Here is a 24620-nt window from a genome sequence, read left to right on the forward strand (position 1 = left end):
GAAGTAAGTTATATCAGTCTCCTCTGCAAAGAAAAAAGGAAAATCTCATTTTCTTCAAATGTCCCACAGGGCTCCTCAGGAACCAACTCTCATCCACATATCCAGCCTCATCTCAGGCTGCTCATTTGCACGGCACCCTTGTTCAGTCCCTACAGCCTGCTTTCCTCCAGTGCCCAGGCTCTTTCTTACTTGGGGTTTCCACACAGACTGCTCACTCAGCTGTGAGTGGAAGTGGAAAGCGTTTCCCTCCATGCTTTTTCTGGCCAACTCTTACTCAATTTTGGTTTCAGTTTAAACGCACTTCCAAGAGCCACCTGCCTTGACAACTCACATTGTCCCCACCACCACTATTCTAAATTTTGATGCACTTATAGCACTCCTATTTTTTTTTCATTATATAGCATTTATCATATTTAGGATATTATTCATATATACCTATTTACCTATTTATAATTATACATTTGTGTGTGTATGTATATGTGTGTGTGTGTGTGTGTGTGTGTGTGTGTGTGTATATATATACAATTTATCTCTTTTTGTTGATTCTCCCTAATAAGAAATGAGGGCAGAGATTATGTCATTTTGTACATACAGCATTTATTACAATACTTGGCATACAGTAAATGCCCAATAAGTATCTGTTGAAGAAATGAGTTAATAAATGAGTAAATGTCACATTGACTTTATGAAGGAAAAGATCTGGCAGCAAAGGTAGCAATTTTAGGATAGAAAGGAAATGATAACATGGGTAAGGGAAGTATTTGAGGGTCAATAAGGCTCTGGGGGAACCAATTCCTCAAATCACACTGTATCTGTAACTATTTCCTCCATCAGTGCACAAGAATGGCACACTGTTCCAATAATGGAACACTGGGCACATGGGAGTTATTTATATCCTACTGCTTAAGGTCATGGCCAAGGTCTGATTTTGCAATTCAAAAAATTGCAACCTCCAGCATAAATGGGTTATCTTTACCACACCAATATTCTTGGTAATAAACTTACATTTATGTTCTTTCTTTACCAATATTATTAACAATAACCCACTATTATTGGTATATTAGTATTAGTATATTATTGATAATATACCTATATTATTATATTATTAATATACCAATAATAATATATTAATATGCCAATAATAATAATATCTCAATATAATTGGTAAAGAAGAGAGAAATAAAATAAGGCTTCTCTACCATATTATTTCACCTATCACTTTATTCCAGATAATTTATATCTAGCTGCAATTTATCTCCAAAGCTCTAATTCCAAAGATTTCAACACCACCAATTTAATATCTGAATTGCTCCTCTCTCATATAGTGGGTACCCCAAACTCACTAAAGGCAAAGCTTAAGCAACCATCCTCTTCTTTCCTACTCCCCCATATCTGCTACTGGAACTTCCATTCCCAAAGATATCCTGACTACGGACAATGGTGTCACTGTTGACACCCTCTCCACAGTCCCCAAAGTCAGGAGTAAGCAAACTCTATTTCCTCTCTTTTGTATTTCTTTGATCTGTACCATCCTCTCCATTCTGGCTGCCATCAATCTCCTCCCAGTCCTCAATCAATTTCTTCTCAATTTGAACAATTGAAACAGTGTCTTAACAAGTCTTTCCATTTGGTCCATGCTCCAACCCATTCTTCACCCTGCTTCCTGCTGCCTCATTAATCTTTCAAAGTTCAGCTTCCTGCAGGCTCCTCCTCTATTCTGAAATCTTCAAAGCCTGCTCAGTGGTTACTGAAGTAAACAGAAGTACTTTAGTCAGACATTGAAGGCTCTCCAAAAATATGTCTCCACCCTTCTTTTCTTCTCGGCATGCTTTCCACATTGCATCCAAATGAAAATACCCCACACCTTGTAATATCCGAGCTCTTTACTCATGCCCGCCCTCAGTGTGGAGGGTCCTTTTCTCCTTCTGCCAAAATCCCACTAACTTGGAGCTCTCAGAGTACAGATTATACATTTCTAGGTGCTTATCTTACATTGCTTTATATTACAGTTGGTTACTTGGATTTTCCTTCTTACTGAATTGTTATTTCTTTGAGGTTCAAGGTTGCGTCTCACTTATGTCTAAACTCCCCAGAAAGCTTATATAAACGAAAGTTTGCACATTAAGAAAAAGCATGGGCCCTGAATTCAGATGGACTTGAATGCAAAGCCTGGCTTTATCACTTGATATAAAAAAGCAAAGGCCCTAAACTCTGTGAGCATTGGTTTCATCATATTTAGAATTGATTAACCAGAGGCTTATTTTCCAAGTTATTGTAAAGACCTGATCCGTAAAGCATATAACACAATGCAGGCATGCAAGAGGCACCCAGTAAATGGGAGCTATTGGAATAGTAGTAACTATTACCACATTGTAATATATAATCAATATATATTGGTTAAATTAAACTAAAATTAACATAATAAATCTTTCCTGCCCTCCAGGAGGATATAATCTAATTGGGGAAAGCCACATGCTAATGTAATTAACCATTCTAAGTAAAATGTAACATGAATGAATGGAATCAGCTGTAAGTTCCAAGGTTATGTGAAGAGAAAGACTGACTTCCTCTCAGGGTGGAGAAGACGTCCCATGAAAAAAACACAGGACCTCTGCAAAGTCTCCTGCAACAGGGAACCACCACAGAAATAGGCCTGCTCTGAACAATAAAGGGTCATTCTCATTTGTTTTCATTTTTGTTTTCAAATTAGGCATGTTTTAAATGAGTCATTAATCATGTACTTACTTCACTAATTACTCATTTCTTTTCTAGCTAATTTTTTATTGAAAGGCATCCTAAAACAGGGAGAAAAGATATTGTCTTGAAAAAGAGAATAAAAGTCTGCTCAGAATCACATCTCAGTTTTTTCTCTAAGACCAAGTGTCAGAATCTGATGTGATAGTCTATATGATCTTAAAGGTGTCCTTTTGCTCTTGGGACCTCTGTGATGTCAGCTCCAACATGGAAAATACAGGAAACAGCTAGGAAAGACTGTAGTGATGAGTCCCATTTTCAACAGATTCCAAGTGCACACATATGGTCAGTCTAAATAGCTTTCTCCTTAACACAAACAGAGAAAACCTTGTTAGTGCTCAACCTCCTGCACTATTCATTCCCCAACATGCGTGATCCTGTTTGGAGTTGGGAATGTAGGGAATCTGGCCTTTCTAATTACCTGGGTACTGTCACACAGATCAATGTCAGAGTATATACCATAAGACTATTGACTATTGAAGAACAATTCATGGTAAGTAAAGTAATTTTAAGAAAGCTGGGAAAATGAATTATTGAAAATTTCAAAGTGTGATAACACAACTAACTCCAAAACAGGAAGTGAAAACAAGATTAAAATAAAAATTGATGGTGAAATGTTATTTTGGACTAGTTATGTGTGGGTTACCAAGAGTGATTTAAGATATTTTCTTTCCTCTTTCTCCATCTCTCTCAAAAGGAGAAAGGCGAAAGAAAACATCTTAAATCACCAGGTCTGGGCTTTCCAGATGTAATTCCAGAAAGAGAGAAAGACAGAGAGAGAGTTTGGGTACATAGAATGGTACCCCAAAGTATGGTATGATGCTTTGGCATACTGAGCACTTTTGAATTAAAATAAATTGAAAAGCCTTAGAAACTGCCTCAGAACCAGGGACTTTCTAAGCTTCTCTTATTTCTACCACCTCCCCAACAAGTGTAGAAAGGTATTTGCTCTGGTATCTGAGTGAAGAAACCTTCTTCCAAAAGAAATGCAATTGTCTTAAGATCCCCTTTCTAAGAATCTTATCAACTAATCAGGAAAAATTAACCACCAGAGAAGAGACTAAAAATTGTCATATGCCCACAAAACCTTTTCACCTATTCTTCTGAGGGCAGCTGCAAAAGATTACCTGAGAGACTGTATCTGCATAATAAGACAACCTATGTTCACAGTGTACTTTCTCCCCTCACCTTCTTATAACTTGTCCAAAGACTATTGTTTGTCCTTAGGTCCCATTCAGTGTTCAAAGGGAGTGATTTGCAAACAATTATCTAGTCTTTGAGACCACGTACTCCCCCTAGAAATCATTTACTACTCCTCTAAACTGCCTATAGCCCCTCATACCACTCTTTCCTATAAAGAAGGTATTTAAGCCATAATCATCTGGCCCTTCTTTGAATCTGATATTCTCTATGGCTCCCACTCTTACACACATTAATAAATTTGCATGCCGTTTGTCCTGTTGATCTATTTATTGTCAGCTCACCTCAGTAGACTGGAGCCTTCAGAGGAGGAAGAAAAAATCTCTGCACTCTACTATTACTATCTATCTATCTATCCATCTATCTAATCTATCTATATCTTGAAATCTTGGAATCACTGTGTATGTTAGTCTGAATAATGACCCTAAGATGGCCATGTCCTAAACATCAGTATCTATGAATGTTATCTTATATAGAAAAGGGGACTTTGCAGACATAATTAAGTTAAGGATCTTGAGTGAGGAGTGTATCATGGATTATCTAGTTGGTAAATGTAATCACAAGTGTCCTTATAAGAAGGAGTCCTAGGGATATTTGACTACAGTAAACGAGAAGGCAATACAATCACAGAGACAGAAATTAAAGTGATGCAGTGACCATGCTAACAGCAAGGGGTGAACTAGATAGCAAAAAATTTTAATCATGCAGTGAAGGAAGTTAGGACAACCCCTAGCTGTGAGGTTATAGGAAGAAAAGGGTCAAAGAGAGGAACTACTACAAATGCACCTTTATGCCATGTGGCTCAGATCTTCTTGGTTGGAGCTTTTAGTAATAAAAAAGTTAAAGTAGGTCCAGAAATAAGGAGAAGCTGTTCAAAATGAGTCAGGCTGCTGGAAAACAGAGGGGGGTTCCTGTGATCCCTCTGTGTCCCTGCAGTGGGAAGGACCCTCGCCCCAGGCTGGTGAAGGTGCCTAGCTGTGTGACATGATTGGCATCCCCAGTGTGGGACCATGTAAAACCTACGTATCTGGAATAAGGCCTCTGGATCTTTTTTAAACAGGACTGAACAATTGCTCCTTGTTTTGAAAAACTTTTCTGTTGCTGTTGGTATTTTCATGTCCAAGGCAAACAGAGAGTCATGTGGATGCTCAGAAATTGAAACCTTGCCCCTGTTTTGGAAGAGATGTGTTTCAGCCTGTCCTTCAAAGGGATTTCTCACCATGCAACCTATTATGTTCATATTTTATTTGGAAAAATGGAGAGAAAGAGAAGAGGAAATGCAAAGAAGAAGGAAAGGAAACAGAAGTATGGGAGCAAGAAAGTCCAAGAAAGAAAGAGACCATCGGGTGCTTGTGCATGACTGTCTTTCATATGGAATTAATGGTGGTTTAATGGGGTATGAAAGGATGTTTTACTGGAAACAACGAGGAACAATTGTCTAGCTCACGTTTCATTTCACAGGTCATTATTGCATTAAGAAGTAAATCGACCAAGTCTGGTAAATAACAGTCTGTGTATTGCCGAGAGCTTCAAACCAACAATTTTAGCCATCACAAACTAATATCTCTGTCATTTTAACCCTTGCAGGGTTGTGCTAGGGGGCTAAACAATTACAGTCTTCACCCAGTTCTAGAAGGTGAGCATAATTCATTGCCCTTCTAGTCCCTTCTTTTGCAAAACCCAGGAGGCCATATTTTAGCATTGTTGTTTTGTTGATGAGCCAGCCTTAGCCAAATGCAGCTCTGGTGGCCTTGAAAAACAACCCCCATTTTAGTGAGTGCTGCAGGCATCTTTAAACACACTGCTTCCTCTGCAAAATTAATTGCTGCAAAATGCAGTGCTCCCTCATCTAAGCTTTTGCAAGCTCAAACTCAGCTATTTGGGTAGGTCATAGATGTGTCTGAGAGATCCAGGGTAAATGAGCTGCTTTTCTTTATTATAGAAGTTCACGTTCATGTCACCAAACATTATCAGGCACTGGACATACAGGAGTTTCTAATGCTTAAATTCCGGTTCCATTAACTCAGGGGCAATTGGTGGATGAGGCCAATCCTGGCCGTATTTTGAAGCAGTTGTGTAGTAAATAAACACATCAAAGAGAGTTTATTGTAAACAATCATACTTAAAATACATATGGTAAAATAAAGTGCATATTAAAATAAAATTTTCTTGCTTCAACTTGGGACAAAAATGTCAAAGACAAACCAGGCTATACTGGCCCCGCAGGAACTGGTCTTAATCACCTCTTTTCTGCCATCCTATCCATCCTTTTACATCTCTTGGTATACCCCACATGAACTGACCTCTGTTCCCTCTAAGTTCCCATTACCGCTTCATCCCCCTCCAGCTTCCTGGGCCAGCCCCATATGAACTGTCAACATTTCCTCATAATTTTTCAATCAAAAACTGATGTTTATCCTACAGAGTGGATATGGAATTCTCCACACTTCCACAGTACCTCTAAAATGTGGTAAGTAAGGTCTAATTTCTTTCTTGAAAGAGAAAAAATCTTGCAGAGATGGCATCAGTATTCCAATGTCTTACTTTTTTTATTTCAACTAAGACTAAGGTCTTACAAATAACTATGGTGTGCTGAATAATAGCCTCCCTAGGATGCTTATGCCCTAATCCTGATTATGTGAATATGGCAAGGGACTTTGAAGATATTATTAAGTGTATAGATCTTAAAGTAGGAAGACTATCCTGGACTATAAACCTTAGAAGCAGAGAACTTTCTCTGGCTAGAATTAGAGAGTTGTAGTAAAGGAGAAGGCGGGAGAGATTCAAAGCATGAGAGGCACACAATTAGCTATTGCTGATTTTGAAGATGAAGACAGCCGCAAGTCAGGGAATGCAGGCAGCCCTAGAAGTTGAGCATGAAGCCTGGCCTACAGTGAACAAGGACACAGCAACCATAACTGAGCAGCTTAGCAGCTGAGCCTCAAACTGCATTTTAAACTTTTTTTTCTTATTTTCCTTTTCCTCTTTTCTCTTCCAGTCTCGGGATAAAATTTTGAGACAAACTGCATATGTTACTGATGGAAGGTATCCGAGTTACCAGCAGTAAATCTGTGTGGGTCCGCAGCAACCTCAATTTCTGCCTCCTCAGATGAAAGAACTTGACAGAGGGATATAAGGCAGAAAAAGAGACCGAGACAAGTTTCAGAGCAGGTGAGGAAGTATATTTTAAAAGGCTTTGGAACAGGAGAGAAAGGAAAGTACGCTTGATAGAGATCCAAGTGGGTGACTTGAAGAACAAGTGTGGTGTTTCACTGTTAACTGTGATACTAGGACTTTACAGGGTGGCCCCCTTCTGGCGTCTTTAAACCCCTTCTCATGATTCTTCCCTTAGGGTGGTCTGCCCACATATGCAGTGCCCTCCTTACCCTTGGGAGGTGAGCATGCACAGTGTGTTAAGGAAACTGTATGCATGCCCATCTGAGGCTTTCTTCCCTTTGCTGCTGGTGTGCCCCTGGAAAGGCAAACTCTGCCATTTTTGTCTCTTAGTGCATATGCCCAGGAAGTTGCTTCTTCCTGGCGTCTCCATTCAATTAACACTTCAGTGCAACAGGTGTGGCCCATCAGGAAATGGCCTCTTCCTGGCACCATCTGCCAATCTGTCACTTTTAGGGAGGCAATGTGATAATTGCCAAACCATCACTCAACATTCCTAGTGGGTAGGGGAGAGCCCTCTTCTGCCCTACTCTATGCCTGTCTAACAACCTATAACACATCTATGTAACCTCTCATATTAAAATACAGCCTCAGTATGTGCTGTGAATCTCAATTCCTTTTCCTTCTCCATACAATACTCCCATGCCTTATGCACATTTATTTACCTAAATGCTTGTCAAGCACGCACCATGCTTTCTTATCTGGTCATATATTTCCTTATATACTTTAGGAGTCAGATCCTGATAGTGACAAGGCACCTCTGGAATTCTCTCTCTAACAAAAGATTGCTTAAAGATGGAACCCACTCCCAGATGATGAGTGACTACAAAATTGACTGAAAGTAATTTATAACCTGGCAGGGTCTACGATGGCAGCATCCCCTTTGCCAAATAGGACAACTGTTCAAGAGGGGCCACTGGAGCAAGTCACGCTACCTTATACCTCTCAGCCCCCACACTTCTTCTGCATTCCAAATCTTTCCTTTAAAAACCTCTGTGGAATTGAATAGGGGAACTGAAGAGTGGAATTGCTTTCTACTCTTCCCCTGCTAGCATGGATAATAAACCAATTTTGCTTCCTTTTATCACAACTTATTATTTTGACTTCTTTTCATAAGCAGTGAGCAGCCGGACTCTTTGGCCGGTTACACGACCACAGTCCTACAACTACATGGAACTGAATCTGGCCAAGAACCTGAGTGAGACTGAAGGTGAAATCATCTCCAGAAACTCCAGAAAGAAACACAATCCTGCCATTACCTGAATTTTGGCCATCAGAGATCTGAAGCAGAGAAAATAGCCAAGTTCACCAGACTTCTGACCTACAAAACTGTGAGATAATACTTAGGTGTTGTTTGAAGCCACTACATTGTTAATAATTTGTTATAGCAGCAATAGAAAACTTGTACAAAAACCAGGATGTCATGCTCAAATGTTCATCACCATTCCAACCAGGATCATGATAAGTGGTGGCAGTGGTGGCAATGGAATGGAATAGTCAAGTTATTTAGTGCTTATCCTATGACAGGCCTGGGGCCAAGTTTTTTATATGCATTTTGTCTACAAAATTATAAAGCTCTAAGATTTCCTTTGTCTGTAACGTGTTCAAACAGAAAGACAGTATATAGCCTACAGATATGGATAGGCTGGTTTCCACATGGGCAGTGCCCAAGAAAGGTTGCATCCTACCAATATCACCCAAAAGGGAAGAGATTATTATTCATAGCCATATTAAAAAATGGCTTCAACTCCCTTCCTTCATGGCAATGACTTTCAAGAACTTACATTCAGTTTTTATTAATATTTCTCCTGTGAGGAAGCTAATCAAATTGAAATTCAGTCATACTGGAAGTCCTTAATTCTGTAGTAGAAAGATTGGCTTCTAGGTCTAGGAAAATTTCTTTTCTTTGGTGTTCTTTTCCTTGACACACTTTACATAATAACCAACTCATGTTTCAAGATTCTAGTTTTCCATATAAATGAGTTATACTATCATTATTCTTACTATAAAAACTAAATTATACATACACATTTTTTTAATGGCAACCTTCTAGTTTTTCCCTCTGAGTAGTAGTGCTGAAGATCAAGATAGCAGAGGGGTAAGAGGCATGATATATTTTCTTTTTCATTTTCTGTTTTACTGTTTTATTTATTCATTCAACAAAAATCTCTAGGATAATGTCTTAAAAGTGAAGTTGCTAAGTCAGAAGTACAGAGCTTTAGGTGGTAGCCAGATGACAAAAAGCTAAGAAAAGTGATATTTGAGAACGAAGTTTGAGAACTCTTTCTCCACATTTTCCCCAACACTGCAAATTATCACACTTTTTAATTATTGCAAATATGATTGGGAAAATAATAATAATTATAGTAGCAGTGGTCATTATTGCCTTAGAAGTGGTGGAAATCTTTATTAGGTTTATCTTTTTAATCCTTATAATAATCATTTGAGTACATAATATTAATATCTCCAAGTCCTAAATTTAAAAACTGAGGCATAAAGGAGATGAGCAACTTGCTTACAATTGCACATCTGGTTAGTGGACACAATCCAAGCAGCTGGACTCAGTGCAAGAACTCTTAACCTGTGCTTTGATTGTGAGAAAACTTTGGCTTTTTGTATGTTTATTGATATTTGTTTCATTTCTCTGTAAAATGTTTCTTGGAATTCTTTGCAAATTTTTTCAGTTGGTTTGTTCCTTTTTGTTCTTAAATATTAGTAAGTTGTTTTTACATTGATGAAATTAGCCCTTTGCTAGATGAGTTGCAAATTTATTTCTAGTTTTTTAGTTTTGCTTTTAATATTCTTTAAGAAGTTTTAATTCTTTTATATTCAAATTTTTAAATCTACCCACGTATTTTCTAGATTTTGATTCATGCAAAGAAGTATCCCTGTAACTCTAAATAACGTCATCAATATTTTCTAGTAATTCCATGGGGTTTTCCATCTTTAATCCATTTAAAATTTATTTTTGTAAAGAAAAAGATAAAAATTTCTGAATTGTTTTTTCTCCCTACATGATGAGTCAAATGGCTCAACGTTGCTATTTGAATGATTTCTATTTTCCCATAATTTAAAATGCTATTTTTGTTATAAACTAAATTGTCAAATGCATCTGAATCTATTTCCGACTTTTAGAAGTTTATTCCATCAACATATTTATTTCTAGAATATTTTTAATGAATGCTTCCAATTGTCAGAAACTAAGATTACTTTTTACATCTCATGAAAATGTAAATACATAAAGAAAAAACTGTAAACCAGACAAGCGAATTTTTCAGACCCATAATATTGAGATGAGAATTTGCTTAGTACTTATTTATGAGCTGGTTTGGTATCTATTGGCAAGGCACAAGCATTTTATTTATTGGAGGGACTGCTCAAGTATTCCCTTCCATTAAAATGTGCATATATGCATACACATGAAAATATAAAAATAATGAAACTGAAAATAGACAAACATTCATCCATTCATCTTAGGCATAAAATAAGCTCAGGTTTGAGATTCTACCTTCTAAATTTTTGAGAGGTTGAAGGGAGGGAAGAGGGTCTCACTCTGTCACCCACGCTGGAGTGCAGTGGCATAATCATGGCTCACTTCAGCCTTGACCTCTCAGGCTCAGGTGATCCTCTTACCTCAGCCTCCCAAGTAGCTGGTATTATAGGTGTGCACCACCACACCTGGCTAATACTTTTTGTTAAATTTTTCAATACTATTGTACTGAAAGGATTAAAGCAGCAACGCAGGGTTACTCCATTATTAAAACTTGAAGACTAGGAACACAGCTTACTAGTCAATGAAGTCCTTGAAATAATATGGGAAAAAAAGAGAAAAAAGAAATAAACTAAAATAAAAAGAAATAGAAAATACAGAGCCAGTTTATTATTATGGCAAAAAAATCAAGTAATTTCATTTACAGATAGGTATTCAAAAATAGCTCCTCTTGTGGAACACTGATATTACTGCTTTTCAAACATACAATAAAACAGAGAAATGTGAATAGATTTCTCATAAAGGATTGTTAACTTGAGTAGTAAAATTCTCAGTCTCAGAAAATCTTGATGCTTTGGTTGGAGGCTTGAGTATTTAAATAATACCTCCTGCAAATGGCAGGTAATCCAAGTCTAGACAAGCTTTGTTTTTTAATTGACTGAATTATATGCCCAGGATCAATTAGGTGCTCTCTAGATTGGTTTCTAATTCTGTGATTCATTTCTAATCCTAGGAACCCAGGCTACATCTGATGACCACTGACTTATAAAAGGGTAATTTACCAGGGATAAATAGAGTCTACTACATGGCTTAAAAAATCAATTCTCTTTAATGTGTATCCCTCAGAACAAAGGAAGAAAAATATCCATATGATGAATGCAGCTACATGTAGCTATTTAGTCTTTGAAATGTGACTAGTGCACCCAAGGAGCTAAGCTTCAAATTATGTATAATTTTAATTAATTATAATTTAAAATGTAAAACTGATAACAATTATTGGAAAATGTTTAGGTATATTTTAAACAATGTTTATATGTGATTCTACTTTTTCAGTTGCAAAGTTTATAAAATATAGGCAAAGATCAAATACTTTTGATAAAAACACTTTATAAATTGACATGGCATAACAGTAAAAAGCACAACAGATTTTAAACACATAGTATAAGAAACATAATGCAAAATATCTCAACTACACTGATTACATATTAAAATGATGATTTTTAAATATATTGAGCTGTTTCTTTTTACTGCTTTTAGCCTGGATGCTAAGATACTAAGTCACACTGGTGCATTATATTTCTTTTGAACAATACTGTTCTGGATGGTTAATATTCAGTTCTTATTCCTAGATTTAGAAAAAAATCACTGAAAACTGAAGATCATCAAAAATATGCCAGTCCTTCATAAAAATATCAAAAATTTGTGGATCAAAAAACTCTATCAACAGAGTGAAAAGGAAACCTGAAGTATGGGGGGAAATATTTGCAAATCATATGTCTAGTAAAGGATTAATATCCACAACATAAACCACAACTCCTAAGATTCAACAATAACAAAAAAACCCAAACAGCCCAATTCAAAAATTAATATGGGACTTGAATAGACATTTCTCCAAAAAAGATATTCAAATTAACAATGACTCCATGAAAAGATGTTCAACACTACTAATCACTTGGGAAATGCAAATCAAAATTACAACGACATATCACCTCACACCCATTAAAATGGTTACTATCAAAGTAGAAAATTTCAAGTGTCAACAAGGATGTGGAGAAACCATTGTGTACTGTTGGTGGGAATGTAAAATGGTACAGTTATTGTGGGAAACAACATTATGGTTCCACAAAAGGTTGAAAATAGAACTATCACATGACCTTGCTATTTCACTTCTGGATCTATACCCAATAGAATTGAAAGTAGAGTCTCTAAGAGATATTTGTATACCATATTCATAGTAGCATTATTTACAATAGCTAAAACATGGAAGCATTCCAGGTGTCCATGGGTGGATGAATGGATAAGCAAAATGTGGTAAGTTCATGCAATGGAATGAAATTCCATAATATGCTACAACATGGATGAACCCTGAGAACATTATGCTAAAAGAAATAAGCCAGTACCAAAAGGTATTGTATGATTCTACTTATATGAGGTACTTAAGGGTAGTCAAAATCATAGACCCAGAGAGTGGAATGTTGGTTTTCAGGAACACGGGGTAGGGAAGAATGGGAAGTTACTGTTTAATGACATTAGAGTTTCAGTTTTAAGAGTTGAAAAGACTTATGGAGAAGTATGGTAGTGATGGTTGCACAATACTATGAATGTATTTAATACCACTGAACTGTACACTTAAAAATGGTTAAGATGGGCCAGGCACAGTGACTCACACCTGTAATCCCAGTACTTTGGGAGAACGAGATGGGCGGATCACAAGGTCAGGAGACCTAGATCATCCTGGCTAACACAGTGAAACCCTGTCTCTACTAAAAATACAAAAAATTAGCCGGGCGTGGTGGTGGGAGCCTGTAGTCCCAGCTACTGAGGCTGAGGCAGGAGAATGGTGTGAACCCAGGAGGCGGAGCTTGCAGTGAGCTGAGATCACACCACTGCACTCCAGCCTGAGGACAGAGGGAGACTCCCTCTCAAAAAAAAAAAAAAATGGTTAAGATGGTAAATTTTATATTATATGTATTTTACCACAATAAAAACATAAGCCAGTCTAAAAAGTGAAGAACTAAAAAAATGTCATATATTGGCTGATAGAAGGAATTTAGAATTCCTATGCTTGAAAAAGTCTTATTTGGCTTATTATAAAATCATTGTCTTACTGTCTTTGAATATGTAAAATGCTGTAATACAGAAAGACTTATATGAAACCTGGAAAGACTTATACTCTGTCATGCCAAAAGGCAAACTAGGTCACTGGGTAGAAGTCATAGAAGGAAGAGCCTAACAATAACAAGTTATTCAAAATATAATATAGGCAGCCTTAAAAGGGTGTGAACTCCCACTTCCTGGGAAAATGAAAGGTAAAGGGCACGTATGCATGTGAAGTGAAGCTGATTGATCTTCAAGGGACCATCCAAATCAAAGGCACTACAATCTTGTCATTTCTTTCCAAGTAGCATGTATTCCTGTAGACTAATAGATTAACATGAGGCAATATTTCCCAGAATGTGTTCTGAAGTACACTAGTTCCAAGGGACCCTAATGTGTAGTATGAACAGGTATTCTCTAGTCAAAAAGCTTGGGAAACACCGGGTAACACAAAATTAAACAGTGTTTTTAAAAATTTAATTGCAGAACTTATCAGAATCTTCAGTATTTTAATACACATGGTGGTCTCCAAAATAGGAATAGTCAGAGTTTTCAAAATTTATTTGGCCATGTACCACATTTTTTACAATCTCCTGAAATTAGAAAATGGGGGAATATTCTTTGAAAATGCTAAAACAAATTATGCATTAATTAAATCTATAAAATTTACTTTGTGGAAGAGTTGACTGGCAAACTAAACTTAAATTCTTGACTTTCTTATTCACATTTGTTCCCTCATTCAGCAAACATTAACAAAGCCTATATTATGTTCCATAAATTGTACTAGAAATTCAAAGACATTTACCTTGAAGTCACTCACAGTCTGGTAAGAAAGCAGACTTGTAAAATGATGGCGGTAACCCACGAGAGGGGCTGTAATGGAGCTGAGCAACGGGTGAAGGAGAGTCACAAAGGTCCTCCATATTCCTGAGTTCTGCATCAGTGGATTTGATCAAAAATCCGCTGATCAGATCAAAAACTGCAGATCAAAAATATGTGGAGGAAAAAAAAAAACTCTACAAAGTTCCAAACAGAAGTTTCACTTGATTTTGATTTTGCCACCTGACGAGTACTATGTTGAATCCACACAAACGAAGTGATGTGTTAGCCATCTTATTAGGTATTATAAGTAATCGACACACGATTTAAAGTGTACAGGAGAATGTATGTAGATTAGATGCAAACACTACACCTTTTTAATATAAGACTTGAGCATCTGTGGATTTTGGTATCTGTAGGGGTCCTAGAACCAATGCCACATGGATGTTTAGGAATAGCTGTATATATATTATGTATGAAGAAGAGGAACTAAATGAGTTTTTTTGTGGTTGTTATAGCATCGCCCTTCAAAAATGTTAAAGTAGTCGACAGTTACTTGTTAAACTCTAAAAATCTATTTGCTACCAAGTAAAGTAAAAATATGTGAATGATCCAGTTAAATATATCTCTGTATAGAGTCCTACCAGATGATTCAGACCACACAATGATAATTATCCAGAAGTGGTTATGAACTCTGGCTTTGGAGTCAGACAAATATAGATTTAAATCTTGGTTCTGCACATTCTAACTGTGGGACTGTGAAAAATTAGTTAACTTCTCCAAACCTCTATTTTCCCAAATGTGAAGGGGTATAACGATCCCTTCATGTTAAGGTTGTTGTAAGGATAAATGAGAGTATTTATAAACTATTTAGCATAATGCCTGGCACATGGAATGCACTAGATAATGGCAATTATTATTATTGCTAGTTTGTTTGGATAATTGCTAGAATAATTGTACAATCTCAGTTTTGTTTGTTCTGTGTGGACAGAGCTTTGTATGCGATGAAAGCTGACAGATCTAAAACAGTTAACACTGAAGAATATAAAGAAAGAAGGAGAAAACTTGGATAGAGGGTACTGGGTAGTATAGCATAGTCTTAAAAACACAGTTCGGGGCTGGGCATGGTGACTCATGCCCATAATTGCAGCACTTTGGGAGGCCAAGGTAAGAGGATCGCTTGAGACCAGGAGTTCAAGACCAGCCTGGCCAATATAGTGAGACCTCATCTCTACGAAAAATTTTTTTTAAAAAAAACTAGCCAGGTGTGGTGACATGTGCCTGTAGTCACAGCTACTTGGAAGGCTGAGGTGGGAGGATCACTTGAGCCCAGGAGTTGAAGGTTGTAGTGAGCTATGATTGTACCACTGCACTCTGGCCTGGGCGACAGAGTGAGACCTTGTTTCTAAAAATAAAAAATAAAAATAAAAACACAGTTCAATCTGAACCTTGTTAATTAGCTTTAGGACTTGGACAATTTACCTAATGTCTACATCAGTTCCCACACCTATAAAATGGAGGCAACAGGACTATCTCTTAGAGTAGAACCCGTTGATGGCATTAAATGAGGTAACTCATTGAAAGGTCACAGCACAGAGCCAGAAATATGGTGGACACTCAGCAAGTGTTAGATGCTGTTATTGTTAATGGAAGATTTGAGGAGCAAGACAATCACAATAATAACATGTCTAGATTGAGGAAAGGAAAAGGAAATTGTCCCCATAGATCACATGCCTGTTCATATCATCTTTTATAGATCACACATGAAAATCATTCCAACTCACAGCATGGACTACTTTGAAATGTAATCAAATATTGTTATGGCATTCACTGCCTGGAGACCAGGCAAGTCATGAGGGAGTGACAAAATAAGGTGAAGGAAAGGTACTCTTTGGGTCTGAACGATGTACCACTAGAAGCCGTATCCCCCCCTGCTTGGGATTAAAATCCCTTGCAGCTGCGAATCCCAAAGAGTCTAATATTTTCTGAGACTCCACTGTGCCTTTATATTTTAATACCATGACATCTGGAATCCTAAAAGTCTAATGTTTAACCATAAATATCTGCTGAAATTAAAGAGCTATATACCAAGCTTCAATCTTTGGGGCCTGTAATTGCTTGGGAAAAGAGAATGGTATTTTCCCCTCTAGCTAGAAGAAAAAGACCTCTGCAAGCACAGATATTGGCAGACAAATTTTCTAACCGTTTCCTCTCTCCATTCTGTCCTCTCATTTTCTCCCTCCCTCTCCAATCTCCCATTTTATAATACCATCTTGCTGTCATTCTCAGGATAAATGGGAAAAAAGAGAAGCCTAGAAACCTTAAAGAAAAGACACATTTCAAGGTCTAGCAACAAAAAGTTGAGAAACTGCAAGCCACTCTCTGTTAAGTAGCTGAGCAGACGTCACCACAATACCTGAGCTTTCCCCATTATTCAGTTAGAAACCACTTCATCACTCAGTGGGCTGACAGTCAAATGCCAGCTTTATTTTCTTTTTTTTATCAACCTAATCTTTTATTTTTGATTTGAGGCCAGTCACTTTTAAGGTCTCCACAGTGGTTTATAACTTTCTTTCTTGAGAAGTGTCCAAGAAGTAACACAATTTGAAAAATGTTCCCTACTGTCTCATGGTAAAGAATGGGAAACTCACCTGCCCTGAAGGTGTATGTGGTCAGAAATCTTGGTCAGACCACAGTACTTTGCTGGAAATAATGCCAAGGAAAGTGTGGGAAAAGCTTATCGTGAGTTTATATTTTTAATATAACTATTCTATGTGGCATTTAAAACATACACTTAGTATCAAACCCATTTTTATCCACTGATATATTATGAAAGTGACATTTTGAGGTCAGTCACCTCACTTCTAGGAAAAATGATCCATTTAAAAAGAGGTTTAATATGTTGTTTTTATTCAAATAATTAAGATTGTAAATATTCCTGAATCTTTTTAGCTAATGTTCTTTTCTCTTGTGGAAATATATTCAGTGTGTTCATAAGCAAGTATGTTTATATCTGTTGGTATTTGGCACAGAGAGCTAATTCTTGATTATTCATGAAAATTTGAAACTATCCACTCACTAAATTAAAAATATTGTCTTCTTAATATCTTGTTTATTTACTTCAAAAGGAACATATAACTCTATAGTGATGATTCTCAAGCCTAACACAGCAGAATCACTTATTGTTTGTGTGTGTGTGAGTGTGTGTGTGTGTGTGTGTGTGTTTAACTCAAAGGTCTGGACTTTACACACATCTATTGATTCAAAATCTCCCTACATGCCAATGAATGTTTAATGTCCTAGATGATCCTAATGATAAGTCAGTTTTAGTAGCTAGTGTCCTGACCACATCATAAAAAAATATTGGCAGGAGAATGAGGGGGGTTTGTTTTGTTTTAAAATTTTCAGTCTATTGAAGAGTAATAATTTAAAAAAATACAAATAATCAGACAAATTAGATATACAAACTATAAGCCCCACGTTTACTTATTAGACTCAACAGACATAAAATTACTCTGCCAAATTGCTGTGTTTCTAAGTGGTAAATTTCTGTGAATACCTCACTGTAGACAGGTAGCCGATAGTTTGTGGGCCAGCACGCGTGGAGCAGCTACCTCCAAGCCCCACCTGCTCCCCTTCCACCTGCACAGCTTCCTGGCTGCACTGCCCGCCTCCAGACAGCTAGCGCACTCCAACACAGCTAGCACAATCTTTTCAGGGAGCAAGGAAAATCCTACTGCCACCTTTCTTAAAATCTCCCAAAATATATAGAAATAGGAAATAAAACTGTGGTTAACAGAGACAGGGGTTTGGGAGTGAGAGGAAATGAGGGGATGTTGGTCAAAGGACACAGAGTTGCAGATATGTAAGGATATGTAAGGCGAATAAGTCCAGAGGTGTAATTCACAACGTGAGGACCCTAGGTTAATAATACTGTGTTGTAGTCACGATTTTTGCTAATACTATGAATTATAGGTGCTCTTGTCACAAAAAGTAGGGGTGGTTAACCATGTGAGATGATGGATATGTTCATTTGCTTCACTATAGTAGTCATTTTACTATGTGTAAGAGTATCAAAACATCATGCTGTACATCTGAAATGTACACTAAATAAATAAATTGAAATAAAATCCAAACCTTTTACTCTGGCCAAGAAAGAGGCTGGCTCCTGTCTATCTGCAACTGCTTCTTCTCTCAAAAACTGCACACAGTGGTCTCCTTTCCACCCACCTCTCACACATGCTGAGGCCCTTTTGGATCTCAGAGTCCCTGCCCTGGCTGCTCCCTCTGCCTGGAAGTCTCCTCCCTCTGCTCAGGGCAGGCACTCCTCACTCCCCATTCAGGTCTCATTTGAAATGCAACTATTTCAAATAGCAATTCGCCTGCACACAAGACACACACACACACAGACAACTCAAACTACCTTTCTAGCCCAAAACACTATTGTATTTTTTCCATCCTTCTCATCTCTCCTGGAATGTGTGTGTGTGTGTGTATGTACTTTATATATATATATTTTTTATTTTATATATACGTATTTTATATATTTTTTATATATTTTAATATGTATTTTATATATATTTATATATTTTTTTACATATATATAAAATACATACATACACACATATAAAATATACTCATGTTATATACATACACATACACATATATATGTGTGCATGTGTATGTACATGTATTATATATATAATATATATAATTGTTTTAGAGACAGGTCTCACTCTGTCAACCAGGCTGGAGTGCAGTGGCGTCATCTTGGCTCACTGTAACCCCCGCCTCCCGGGTTCAAGCGATTTTCATCCCTCAGCCTCCTGAGTAGCTGGGATCACAGGCATGTGCCATCATACCTGGCTAATTTTTCTATTTTTAGTAGAGACGGATTTTCATCACATTGGCCATGCTGGTCTCCAACTCCCAACTTTGGGTGATCTGCCTGCCTCAGCCTCCCAAAGTGCTAGGATTATAGGCATGAGCCACAGATCCCAGAATATTTTTTATTTGGAATTTTGTTTATGTACCTCTGGAATTTTTATTTGTTTATGTACCTAACCCTACTGGAACATAAGTTTGATGGCAGCAGAAATGTTGTTTTGCTCATTGCTATAGTTTCCATGCTTAGAGACGCTCTGGTAGACAGAAAGTAGGCAAAATACACTTGCCAAATGAATGAAAATGCCAATTTCAGCGTGTAGCATAAAAAAGGTGCTCATGCAATGCTAGTTTTCATTTTACCTCCCTTCCACTTTTTTTTTTGTCATGGCTGAGAAATTGTTAAATTCTGTTGAAACTGAAGCTCTGATTTCTTTCTGCTGCCTCCTGACACTGCTGGTGCCCCACATGTGTGAACCGGGGTGTGAGGTTATGCCATCCATTTGTAGTCTGGGACAGACGGAAACTGAGTTTGGAGCCAGAATGGAAAGCTTTGGTATCTGCCTAATTCTACCTGAATGGGACATTAATTTCAATGCTTTGTTCTTCTAAATGATTTTGAATGTTCAGATCATCAGATGCCTCCATAATCAAAAGAAATCCTTTCGAGAATAAAATGTAAATGGTTCTCAGAAGATCACCTGCTTGGCATGAGCTGTCTTGCTCTCTACTGTTATACATTTTTCCAAGTTGGCTGCACATGCAAACTTACAGATAAGTATAAATCAAAATTAGCAGCTCTCTTCTCCCCTGGCTACACATCCTGCATTACACAGATAGCAAAACCCACTGGCAGAGTGTTCCTCAGAGCTGATCCACATGGATGGTTTTTGCTCCTAATATGACAATATGCTGGGACCTGTGGATATCTGTCTGGGTGAGTAGTTTTTGTACGAACTTATATGTGCAAATAAAATCTGTTATTTTCCAAATTAAAAATAAACCTCAAAGGCAATGGATTCCAAATGACTTGGAGAGATATGTTTAAAAAAATATGGAAAGGATATAAGGGTCTGTTAAACTCAATGACATTTGGAATAAATATAAAATTCCAGTGGTCTCCATCTTCACCTTAGCTGCATTGCTTTCTCTGATTTACTGAAGATGATAATAGATTCTTGTCTTGAACTGAAAAAATACAAAATAGTCATTAATTATCCTAAGATTAAATCTGTGCTTTTTTCATCCAACAGACTGTGGACAGTAACTGCAAAGTAGCTAAGAGAAAATGGTTTAATAATGAAAAGAAATTTGCATTAAGGAAGAAGGGATTTACTCATACTTTGGAAGTCAAAGAAAAATACTGCAATCCTGTCAGCACCCGGAAGGCACCATTTACTATGTGCTGTCTCTTTCATTGCAAGAGGACACAGATTGTATTTTTAGTGCAGTAAACAGCAGATTCCACTGTGGGAATCCTTGCAGTTGGTACCTATAGCAACCTCATTTAAAATGTTATAAAGCTCTAAAACATCAGGGGTTTAGGCAATCAGTCATATATACCTCCATACAGACATTCAGCCACTCACACACATACATGCTTGTCCACACACTGATAGTAAATCGTGTGTAATATGATATTACTCATGGAGTTTTACCATTGAATCATGTTTGACAGCCATGGTAAAGAACTGAGAAAAAGCAAATATTCTACCATTGCAACCAGCAGCAAGAACATATTTGTGCCTAAATAGCATATTACACCATCTGGTAAGCAACCACCTAAAATGAACACTCTTATGATTAAACATGGAGAATCTGACTGACATTTTAGAGTTTCTATTTGTAAGGGATGCTTTTGATGCCACACCCATGTATTTTTGGCACTCACCTTCATACACCAAAGGCTGCTACCACAAAACCTATGACTTCCTTCTGAAAAAGCTTTTTTTCTTTTGATAATTTTGGTATCAATGTTTTTCTCTTTTTTTTTTCCTTCTGAGAGTTTTTGGTGGCCTCAAGGAAGAGCACAGTTAGCCTGTGTTCAGAGAAAGCCAAAGGGCTGGAGAGTTAATGTCCCCAAAGCATCCCCCAAAGTCCTGACAGAAAAGAAAGGTAAGCTCCAAGACAGGGGAGCCAGGATTTGAAATATTAACACATGAGCTTCCCTGTGGCTTGGCTGGGATAATTTGGGGTGCTGTTCCCATGGTCTCCCGCAGTTCCCTATCAGACTTGAGCGCCAGCTTCCACAGTGGTAACCAGTTTGATAACACTTCCCTTATTGGCCTTATTTCTTTTCCTAGGATACTTCCTCATTTTCCTACTGGTGTTTTATAGGATCGCCCCCCATTAAACTACTTGGATTCTAAGCCTTGTATCAGGGTCTGCTTCTGGGACAACCCAAACTAAGACACTATCTTCAGTCTTTATTCCCTTCTGTTAGGATAAAATATAATTTTCATCAAATACTCTGGAACATACATCCCTTATGGATTCCAAAGAAATGGGATCCTCACCAAAAGCTCAAGTCCAGAAAAGTCCCACAATTAGGCATGTGCTTATTTTAACATATCAGAATGTTTTCCCCATAGCATAAATACCTGTAATGGTGGAATAATTCTTAAAACCAATAGAAAACTTACTATAGAACACCATTTGAGTAGATCTAGGGGTAAATAGGAGGGTAACCCCTTATCTTTTCTTCTTTTGCTACTTTCTTTTTAGTGCTACCCACATATTTTCTCAGTATAAATGTGTCCCTGAATTTCATTCTTCTGTGCAAAAAATATATTTGCTGGTTCTATTCAACAAATGCAACCAACACATTAAAACGAACATTTATTCAGCATTTCCATGCGCTTGGCACTGACTTTAAAACCAATACTGTAGTCCTTACAGCTTTTCACTCTATTCCAGAGATAAGCCTTCAACATATGGAAAAACATAAAATAAATGTTAAAAAGTATAAATATTCAAGCATGAAATTTTATGGTAATTAAAAGAATCATATGTAGAAACAGCTCCAAATGTCAAATGCTGTACTGTAGCAGTAGTTCAGGTGAAAGAAAGGTGAAAACAAGTAAAAAGATACATAGAACTGTCTGCATTTTAGGCTTTCATATTACAGATAAATTCTTAAACCAATGACCTGAAGGCCTCAGTTCATTCTGCATGCTCTTGGATGACGTGTAACAGCAAACTCTTCTGGCTGGTTACTTATAATCCATTCATTTGATCAGTCAACCAAAATTTATTGAGTAACCCCCAAATACACATCAGTGAACAACAAAAAAAAAATCCTGCCCTCATGAAGTTTGTGTTCTAAAAAGGATAAACAGTACATTAACATAAGCAATTACATTTATAATATAATGTTAAGTACCACGACTCTAACAAACAATAAAGCAAGCACAGTAGAGCTACAGAAAAATGATCTCATGATTATTTTAGATAGGGTGGTCAAGGATGGCTTCTCTGAGGGTACCTTATTTGAACAGCGGGAACTAGCTCCCAAAGAAGTGAGAATAAAATATTCCAGGAAGAGGAAAAAGCCAGCACAAACGCCCTGATGTAGTGATACACATACCATGTTAAACGAAAAATAAGAGACCAGGATAAGTAAGTAAAAGGCGTGTCACAAGAGAGGAGGTGAGAGAGTGGGCAGGAACCAGGGGCTACAAGACTTACAGGCTTGTAGCTGGGACTTCATTCTGAATGGGTGGAAAGCTGAAAATATCCCTCTGGCCATGTGTGAAGAATAGACTAGAGACTACAAAAGTAGAAGAAAGAAGACCAGCAAGGAGGCTATTCCCTCATCTAGTGAGAGACAATGGTGGCTAGTAGTAAAGGGAATGGTGAGGGTGGTAGTAGTGGAGGAAATGAGAAGTTTGAGAATTTGGGTTAGGAAAAAGAAAAATAAAAGATGACTCCCAGGTTTTTTACTTAAATAGCCTAATGAATGGTGGCACCAATTACTGAGGTAGGGACAGCTAGGCAAGAAGCAGGTTGTAGATTGGGGAAGAGATCAAGAATCTTTTTGAGGCATATTGAGTCTGAGATGTCTACTATCTTTCCAAGTAAAGTCAGTTGGCTATACTAGACCAAATTTCAGGGTCGAGTCTAGGCTGAGGATATAAATTGGAAGTCATCAGCATTTGATGGTATTTCAGTCTTGGTCCTGGGGAGCAAAATTAGAGAAAGAAGGAAAAAGGTCTCAGGACATAGTCCTGTGAAAGTCACACATTCAAAAATTTAAAAGGACAAGGGAGACCAGAAAAGAAATCTAAAAAGAATCAACTAATGAGATAGGGAGAAAACAGAAAAACTTCTTTACATTTGACCGGAGCAGGTTCCAGCTGAACACAAATGAGAATTCAGAGTCAGCTTGTTAGTGGAAATAAAAAGACAATGATCTCTCCAGGGGTCCAGCCATAAAAATTGACATAAAAGGGTGCTTTGTTTGCATAAGCAAGAAGAGGAAGAAGTTTGGAGCACAGCCTTGTTTGGGGGAGAGTTGGAGAATGGAGAAAAGGGAGACAAAACACATGACATCTACCCTACCATTGAGAGAGCGCTTTAAGTCCTGACAGAAAAGAAAGGTAAGCTTAAAGAAAAAGGAGCTGGTTCCATGGCAGACCAGTATGAAACACTGAGCATGATGGCTGCTTCAGGCCCAAGTGCCCAAGCTGGGCGAGAACTGTCCTCCCAGCTGTGCACTAAGTTGGGCATTGAGAATCTGCACTTTTGACATGGACACAGGCAATCTCATAGAGGGCACAGCAGTAAAGTTGTGAGATCACATAATGACTCAGCATTCCTGTAATACAGGTGAATTGGCAGCAGATTAGCACAGACTCCAACTCTAGAATTTAGGTCTTCACCAGTACATTTCATTCTCAGTGAGCACAGCAAAACCAGCTCCTTCACAAGCACCCTTGCCTCTACCACAGGCATTGCATTCAGATATAGCTTACCTGCGTTGAAGAAGGATGCAGTCCATTCTGCCTCTGTTTTAGGAAATACAGAAACTGGTGGAGGCAGACCCAGGGCTCTCCCATCCAGATCCTTGAAGAGATATTTTCTTGGACTTGCACAGTCTAATTCAGGACAGACTACTTTTCCTAAATCTTTCCTGTGAAGACAGTCAAAAAGCAACTCTTTCATTTCATGATAAGCAGCAAGAAGAAAATATACATTGGTAGTGCTAATGTTGTTTAAAATAAATTCAACAGATTTTTATTATTGACAATGTGTTACATAGATATAAAATAAAACTCTTTATGAAATAATTTATTTCCCAATTATATGGTCAAGAAGAAAGACATTCTTACTAACCAAATATTTTGGATATCCTAATATGTAATCTTTATATAGATTGCTGATTTTTTAAGAAGCAAGATACAATAAAGTGTTCCTCTCATAACAACTGAACATAATATAATTATTTTTAGGAATTTCAGGGGTTTGCAGTATTTTAGAATTA

General features: G+C 37.4%; 1 protein-coding gene across 19 annotated transcripts in view, besides 2 other annotated features; it reads right to left on the reverse strand.

The window, feature by feature from the left end:
- PKHD1 (PKHD1 ciliary IPT domain containing fibrocystin/polyductin) overlaps positions 1–24620 on the reverse strand; it is a 472317-nt gene that overhangs the window by 104975 nt on the left and 342722 nt on the right. For 16 of the 19 annotated variants that reach the window (XR_001743469.2, XM_017010944.3, XM_017010945.3 and 13 more), the window contains one exon: positions 24112–24269. Coding sequence is in view for 18 of the 19 variants with exons in the window: in XM_017010944.3 (XP_016866433.1) it covers positions 24112–24269 (158 nt within the window). In the remaining variant the exon portion in view is untranslated. Of the gene's footprint in view, positions 1–575; positions 1748–19249; positions 20327–21963; positions 23316–24111; positions 24270–24620 lie in introns of those variants that run through there. The other 3 variants (NM_170724.3, XM_017010950.2, XM_011514685.2) reach the window with 3 other exon arrangements.
- Positions 23379–23879: an enhancer, noted in NCBI's record as "H3K4me1 hESC enhancer chr6:51608450-51608950 (GRCh37/hg19 assembly coordinates)". NCBI's record gives its function as "activates a minimal SCP1, AML or CMV promoter by ChIP-STARR-seq in primed H9 embryonic stem cells {active_cell/tissue: H9 hESC(primed)}" and the evidence as "EXISTENCE:reporter gene assay evidence [ECO:0000049][PMID:30033119]".
- Positions 23880–24380: an enhancer, noted in NCBI's record as "H3K4me1 hESC enhancer chr6:51608951-51609451 (GRCh37/hg19 assembly coordinates)". NCBI's record gives its function as "activates a minimal SCP1, AML or CMV promoter by ChIP-STARR-seq in primed H9 embryonic stem cells {active_cell/tissue: H9 hESC(primed)}" and the evidence as "EXISTENCE:reporter gene assay evidence [ECO:0000049][PMID:30033119]".

This window comes from Homo sapiens, chromosome 6, assembly GCF_000001405.40.
Source record: "Homo sapiens chromosome 6, GRCh38.p14 Primary Assembly".
Lineage (NCBI taxonomy): Eukaryota > Metazoa > Chordata > Mammalia > Primates > Hominidae > Homo > Homo sapiens.